A 7528-nucleotide genomic window follows, 5' to 3' on the forward strand; every position below is an offset into this window, starting at 1 on the left:
CTAATTTTTTGTATTTTTAGTAGAGACGGGGTTTCACCGCATTAGCCAGGATGGTCTTGATCTCCTGACCTCGTGATCTGCCCACCTCGGCCTCCCAAAGTGCTGGGATTACAGGCATGAGCCACTGCACCCAGCCAATTTTTTGTATTTTTAGTAGAGATGGGGGTCTCACCATGTTGGCCAGGCTGGTATCGAACTGACCTTGTGATCCCCCCGACTCGGCCTTCTAAAGTGCTGGGACTACAAGCATGAGCCACCGTTTCTGGCCAGTTTTAGGACGTTTTTATCACCCCAAAAATAAAGCCCATACCCATTAACCGTCACCCACCACATAACATCCCCTCCCTAAAGTACCCTGCACTTACTGTGCACTCAATGCTGTTTTGATGGTCACTCAGTCTGCCTGTTAGACAGGCACACTTGCCCTAAGCAAGACCTGTGTGACATACTTGTATTAGCCACTCAAGGCCCACCATGGCACCTGTCTCCTAGGAGTGACAGCAGGGAATGACCACAGTGGAGCACCTGGCCTCTCCAACTGTTCACTTGGTCCCAGGCCCTGTGCTTACACTTCACAAACATCTCAGAGACCCTAATATTATTCCCATTTTACAGCTGAGGATAAATGACTTGTCCAAGGTCACAAAACCAGTTAAGTGGCTGCGCTGGGATCAGTCCATCAGTAAGGTCTTCTCTAACTGTCTAGACATTGTCTCTGCCCATCCACTGCGGTCACCTTCTAGCCTCACCTTCTTCTGTTCTCATTAAGGTCTCCTATGACCTCTGAATGGCAAAACCAAATGGAAGGCTGACTTTATCAATCTCTTGGCCACATTTGGCACTCACTACCTCATTTATTTTCAGGCTCTCCTTTGGAGCTACCCACATTTCAGGGAATGCCTTTGGCCTTTTTGGCAGGACCATCATTTTCCCCCAAGTCCTGTGATCAACTGAAGTGCTTCCTGGGGGAGGGTCCCATCTTCAGCCTCTAGTCTTCTGATTCCATGGTTATCTCTTGGGGACCGTGGACACACCGCTATCTCAATTTCCCAAGCTCAGAACTGTCACACCTGAGCACCAAAAATAGCCTTCATATCTCCACTCAGATGGCTCACAGATCCCTCAATTTCATCTTCTCACTTCTACAACGTGTTCCTTCTCCTACATGCCACCATCATTTCATTTTGCCACCTACACAGTTGCCTAAGCCAAGATGAGGACATCGACCTTGACTTATTCTTCCCCCAGCCTTCTTGCCCAACGCTCAAGTCCTATCAAATCCCCTTCCTAAAATTCTCCTACAATACTCCCAGCCAATGCTTGAGGTCAAGCTGCCTTCACCGCCAGCCTGGATTACTATAAGAACCTGCAAACTGTTCTTTCTGCCTCCAGGGTGGCCTCCACCTTCAAATTGCAGGTATCCTGTTAAAGTACAAGTCTAATAGTTTTACTATCCCATCCGCTGCACTCAGGACAGAGTCCTTTCTATGGTTTTTACGATCCTTCTAGAGCTAATCTCTCCTTAACTTTCCAGCCACAGTCCTAACCACCCCACAGTCTGTGCTAAACGACCTGCCACACCATCAACATTTGCATCTGCAGTTTCATGTGACATTGCGACTGGCGATTGGCCAAGTCCAGCCTGGAGTCTCTCTTCTTCCTGCATAAAATTGTCTCTTGTGAAATAATGTTGAAAGGCACAAAGAGATGTAATGGACAGAAGACAAATCAATCAGGGTAGAGAGGGATAAAAGTGTTCTGGACAACAGCCAGCACATCAAACATGGGCCCTTCACCCATGGCCTCCAACGATCTAACTCTCTGGCTGAGAAGAACAATTTCCAGGACCACTAGCTCACATGGAAGCTGAGAAGGTCACAGGACTCCTCTTGAGTGTTAATTATATTTCTTTGCAACAGGAGGAAGATGTCCTGACTGGCCCAAGTATCAGGTAGAGCTCCTATTCCAAATTAGGAAACTGGCATTCTGGTACTCATCAGCTGAAGTGGTGCTACATAATCCAGCAAGCTGTTTGCTTCTCTGTATTTTCCAAGTTTCTGAGTAAGAGAAGAGCTAAACTAGCCATGGAAAAAACCAAGACTGATGTCCAATACAGTATCAATGAGAACCCCATATGACTCAGATTATGGTCTCTAAATACAATTTTGTAATACAAAGAACCAAGTCTCCTAAGAGAAATGAAGACTCTAGGTCTGGGTCAAGAAATCTTCAAGGTAAGATTAGAACATATGGGCATCCCAGGCCAGATGGAGTGGCTCACACCTGTAATCCCAGCACTTTGGGAGGCCGAGGTGGGTGGATCACCTGAGGTCAGGAGTTCAAGACCAGCCTGGCTAACATGGTGTAACCCCATCTCTACTAAAAATTAGCCAGGCGTGGTAGCGTAGGCCTGTAGTCACAGCTACTCAGGAGGCTGAGGCAGGAAAATCACTTGAACCTGGGAGGCAGAGGTTGCAGTGAGCTGAGAACGTGCCACTGCACTCCAGCCTGGGCAAGAAAACAAGATTCCATTCCAAAAAAAAAAAAAACCAGACATCTCAGATAGTAAGGAAGCTTTCAATGGCTACAGGGTTATATAAAAAAGACTTGGCAGTCAACTGAAAAAGCTTCCACTGGCCAAGAGACAATTTAAGCATCAATAAGATTAATCAACTGAAACATAACAAATACATTAAAAACCATTAGTGTGTTATAATACTAAACAAATCTTGGTTGGTTTAGTCACAAAACCTCATTAGTCATTTTTGGAGGATGTCAGTGAAACAACTCTTTATTTTGAAACCTGGTAACTATTGGAAAGAAATAAGCATTTATCTTAACCTCTCCTATACAGACTGTATCTCAGGATAACTAAGTACTTGATTACTGGAAGTTTACAGGCATAGAAGTAGTCAAGCTGGCAACTACAGAAGGAAACAGAATTAGAATAGCACTATTTTGCAACCCCCGATGAAACGATGGCTTCAGTCAATAAATGTCAATTATTCCTTACATCCTAAAAAGAGAAACTAGGTATTATGTGCCTCCCAATAGAGGTACAAACATTGGCTGGGTGTAGTGGCTCACACCTGTAATCCTGACACTTTGGGAGGCTGAGGTGGGTGGATCACCTGAGGTCAGGAGTTCCAGACCAGCCTGGGCAACATGGTGAAACCCCATCTCTACTAAAAGTACCAAAAAATTAGCCAGGTGGCGGGTGCCTGTAATCCCATCTACTTGGGAGACTGAGGCAGGAGAATTACTTGAACCTGGGAGGCAGAGGTTGCAGTGAGCCGAGATGTCCAGCCTGGGTGACAGAGTGAGACTCTGTCTCAAATTAAAAAAAAAAAAAAAAAAAAGAAGTACAAACATCACCTATTAAGTATTTACAAAAAAAAAAAAAAAAGAATTGAACCAAAATCTGAGCAAGCCTCTAGATCTACTACTAATTTAAAGTGGGAACAAGGGACAGAGGAACAAGTTCAACTATATGTCAGAGATGGGATCAGTAAAATTGAGATGGATGGAAAATCTATTAATCAAGTGATCTAACTTCAATCTATATATTAAAATACTTGAGAGAGTATCAACTGAAATGTATGGATCATATTTGCATCCCAATTGAAACAAATAAATCATATTTTAAAAATTTGAGACAATCAGGGGAATTTGAATACTAAATGGATATCTGATTACATTAACAAATTACTGTTTTTAAGGAAGGAGGAATAATATTGTCATTTTTTTAAAATACTCATGACTTTTTTCAGAGATGCTGAAATATTTACAACTGAAAGGGTATGCTGTCTGGGACTTACTTCTGAATAATTTGGGAGTGGGGGTATAAATGGAACTAGTATTGAAACAAGACAGATAATTATTTTATCAATAAGAATTTATGATTGTTGTAGTTAGATGATTATTACTTAGGGGCTCATTATATTATTGCTTCTTATTTGTATATGTTTGACAGTATCCATAATAAACAGTTTTTTTTTTTTCTTTATACGGAGTCTTGCTCTATAGCCCAGGCTGGAGCACAGTGGCTCGATCTCGGCTCACTGCAAGCTCCGCCTCCCGGGTTCACGCCATTCTCCTACCTCAGCCTCCGGAGTAGCTGGGACTACAGGCACCCGCCACCACACAAGGCTAATTTTTTTGTATTTTTAGTAGAGACGGGGTTTCACCGAGCCAGGATGGTCTCGATCTCCTGACCTCATGATCCACCCGTCTCAGCCTCCCAAAGTGCTGGGATTACAGGCATGAGCCACTGCGCCCTGTCAATAAACAGTTTTAAAGAGAAAAGAGGAAAGCGAAATTCTGGAGGGTACAGGTACAAACAATACTGAAAACAAGGGCTAACATTTACCTAGCGCTTATTCTGTCCTTGGTGCTGGGCTAAGTGTTTTACATGTTGTAGCTTGTTGACATTTCACAACCTGTATGAGATAGGTGCTGTTAATACACCAGTTGAAAAACCCAAGGCCCGGAGGTGTTAAATAGGTTATCTAAAGTAGTCCAGTAATTGGCAGGATTGGAATTCAACCCAGGTTTGCCTAACTCCAAAGTCCACCACACTTTGTGCACCAAGTGCTGGAGGGATGGCTTGCATGAGGGATATGAGGGATAGAAATGTGTGTGAATGGCCAAGCGTGGTGGCTCACGCCTGCAATCCCAGTACTTTGGGAGGCCAAGGTGGGTGGATCACTTGAGGTCAGGAGTTCGAGACCAGCCTGGCCAATATGGCAAAATCCTCTCTACTAAAAAATACAAAAAAATTAGCTGGGCATGGTGGCACATGCCTGTAATCCCAGCTACTCAGTAGGCTGAGGCACGAGAATGGCTTGAACTGGTGAGGTGGAGGTTGCAGTGAGCGGAGATCGCGCCACTGCACTCCAGCCTGGGTGACAGGGCTAGACTCTGTCTCAAAAAAAAAAAAAAAAAAGAAAGAAAGAAAGAAATGTGTGTGAATGAGCAAAGGATACCTGAATGCCACACTAAAGATCTGGATGGTATTCTACAAGGTGGGGCAGAGGGCGGGAGGGTGGGTGCCTATGTTGAGCAGTGTTATAGGAAAAATGTGTAGAAAGAATGGCCTAACATGTTCATGGGGGATGATAGAGGGTCCCCTGGGAAGATGGGAAGAACCCTGTGCCCCCAGAAGCTGTTACAGGAGAGCGGACAGCAGCAGGAGTGAGGAAAGTCAAGAAGGGAAACAACCAACCGAATGTCTATTGATGATCAATGATGTTCACCTTAGATTTAGGCAAATAAAGACCTTCGACAAGTCCCAGGCAGTCCACAAAACTCACATTAAGCTCCAACTGTGTGCCAGGCCCTGTCCCAGGCAGCCTCCCTCTATTCTCCCCTTTTTACCACAGTAAGGGTAATCGGTTGCTGGCAGATGCCTACTACCCAGCATCCTAAAGTGCTCTCCTTCCCCACCTCCACTCACATAAGTAAGGTAAACAACTTTTCTTGCAGATGTACGTTAACATCATAACACCTACAATTATTGTACTGCCGATTTTTTTTTTTTTTTGAGACGGGGTCTCGCTCTGTTGTTGCCCAGGCTGGAGTGCAGTGGTGCAGTCTTGGCTCACTGCAACCTTTGCCTCCCAGGTTCAAGCAATTCTCCTGCCTCAGTCTCCCGAGTAGCTGGGATTACAGGCGCCTGTCACCACGCCCAGCTAATTTTTTGTATCTTGAGTAGAGACAGGGTTTCACCATTCTGGCCAGGCTGGTCTCGAACTCCTGCCCTTGTGATCCACCCGCCTTGGCCTCCCAAAATGCTGGGATTACAGACGTGAGCCACCGCGCCTGGCCTGTACTGCAGATTTACATTAAAATCATAACACCTACAATTATTGTATTTTAACGGTAAGTTTTCTATTTTAAAGGTATTTATTTTCACTTTACTGGTCCAGTTTGCAAGGCAAACAATAAATGACTTTTTCATTTGAGCTCACTTTTAACCTCACGAAGTTTCTGACGAGAAAATGTTCTCTAGTGGGTGAAACATCTGGCCATCCTCCCCCCACCCAGCTACCAATTACGAGGCTATCAGCACCTCTGCTCAAGAGTACCACTTGAGGATCAGGAATCCCCTCACATCCTGGCCACCCTTCCCTTCCCTACCACCTGGAGCGGGAGTGGTTGGCAAAGACTGGAATTAGGGACACCTCTAACTCAGTACATCTGTTGGAGCTGTGCCTCAGAAGTCAACGCCACGGCCGGGCGCGGTGGCTCACGCCTGTAATCCCAGCACTTTGGGAGGCCGAGGCGGGCGGATCACGAGGTCAGGAGATCGAGACCATCCCGGCTAAAACGGTGAAACCCCGTCTCTACTAAAAATACAAAAAATTAGCCGGGCGTAGTGGCGGGCGCCTGTAGTCCCAGCTACTTGGGAGGCTGAGGCAGGAGAATGGCGTGAACCCGGGAGGCGGAGCTTGCAGTGAGCCGAGATCCCGCCACTGCACTCCAGCCTGGGCGACAGAGCGAGACTCCGTCTCAAAAAAAAAAAAAAAAAAAAAAAGAAGTCAACGCCACTCTGGAGCTGTGTGCTGAGAAGAAAGGGGAACTCGGTTTCTCATTACTCTTGTGCTCAGAAACCCTGTCCCAACAGGCATCCCCCTCGCTGAGGGGGTGGGATTAATTGGCCAAATACTTGTATATGAACTTCCAGACCTGCAAGGGCCACCCTTGTTCTCCCAAACATTGCCTTCAGGAGATACTGCCCAGCCAGCAGTTCAGAGTTGGGAGAAAACCCTCGATAAACTGGCTCAGCAATTCCCCAGGAAGGCTCACCCCGCAGGCCAACGCGAAGACACGATGATCCCAAAGACCTTAGTGTCTTGGCGGGGGGAGGGGGAAGAGGTGGGGGACTTTTCCGCTTAGCTTCCCTAAGGGTTGCTACGCGACAGCTCTCGGGCTACGTCAGGGTAAAGAGGTTTGTATGGCCACACCTCGCACCGACCAACTACCCCCGAAACACCCCCTCCTCCCAAACTGCAGGGTGAGCACAGCGAGAGAAAAGGTGGCCCAAGCAGAGGCGAACAACTGCGGTTCTTAAAGCCTTGTTTGAGTTTGGGCCCGCGCCGAGCCACAGCTAGAGGTAGATCCCGCTCCTGCGCGTCCGCTATCAGCCCCAGGATTCCCAGAGAGGCCTCTCAGGCCCTTCAAGACCCCCCCTTCCGGCTTCCCGGCCTACACCTCTGAACCCTCAGGCCCCGGACAGCCTCTATCCCCGCCTTTCGCGGCCCCGGCTCACCCTCTAGCGTCTCGCACTGCACCAGGTTGAGGTAGTCGGCCTGGCTGAGCACCCCGGCCTTCAGGCCGCGCACCAGTCCCTCCAAGTAGCCATTGTCCACGTTAAAGTAAAGCTCCGGGAAGAACGACATGGCTGCTGCGGGAGCGGCGGGACCGGAGAACCAGGACCGGCCGGCACGAATCGCGACTCCCCAGGTCAGCTGACGCTGCGTCCTCAGCGGGCTGTCAAGTGCGTCAGGTGACGCGCAAGCGCCTCACG

General features: G+C 47.4%; 1 protein-coding gene across 1 annotated transcript in view, besides 2 other annotated features; it reads right to left on the minus strand.

Moving 5' to 3' along the window:
- ATP6V0D1 (ATPase H+ transporting V0 subunit d1) overlaps positions 1 to 7471 on the minus strand; it is a 43139-nt gene extending 35668 nt beyond the window's left edge. The window contains exon 1 of the mRNA NM_004691.5: positions 7271 to 7471. Coding sequence (NP_004682.2) covers positions 7271 to 7400 — 130 coding nt within the window. The 5' untranslated portion in view covers positions 7401 to 7471. The remainder of the gene's footprint in view (positions 1 to 7270) is intronic.
- Positions 7022 to 7261: an enhancer, noted in NCBI's record as "active region_10965". NCBI's record gives its function as "activates an Ori minimal core promoter by ATAC-STARR-seq in GM12878 lymphoblastoid cells {active_cell/tissue: GM12878}" and the evidence as "EXISTENCE:reporter gene assay evidence [ECO:0000049][PMID:35858748]".
- Positions 7422 to 7471: an enhancer, noted in NCBI's record as "active region_10966". NCBI's record gives its function as "activates an Ori minimal core promoter by ATAC-STARR-seq in GM12878 lymphoblastoid cells {active_cell/tissue: GM12878}" and the evidence as "EXISTENCE:reporter gene assay evidence [ECO:0000049][PMID:35858748]".

The sequence above is a fragment of the Homo sapiens genome, chromosome 16 (assembly GCF_000001405.40).
Source record: "Homo sapiens chromosome 16, GRCh38.p14 Primary Assembly".
Classification (NCBI taxonomy): domain Eukaryota; kingdom Metazoa; phylum Chordata; class Mammalia; order Primates; family Hominidae; genus Homo; species Homo sapiens.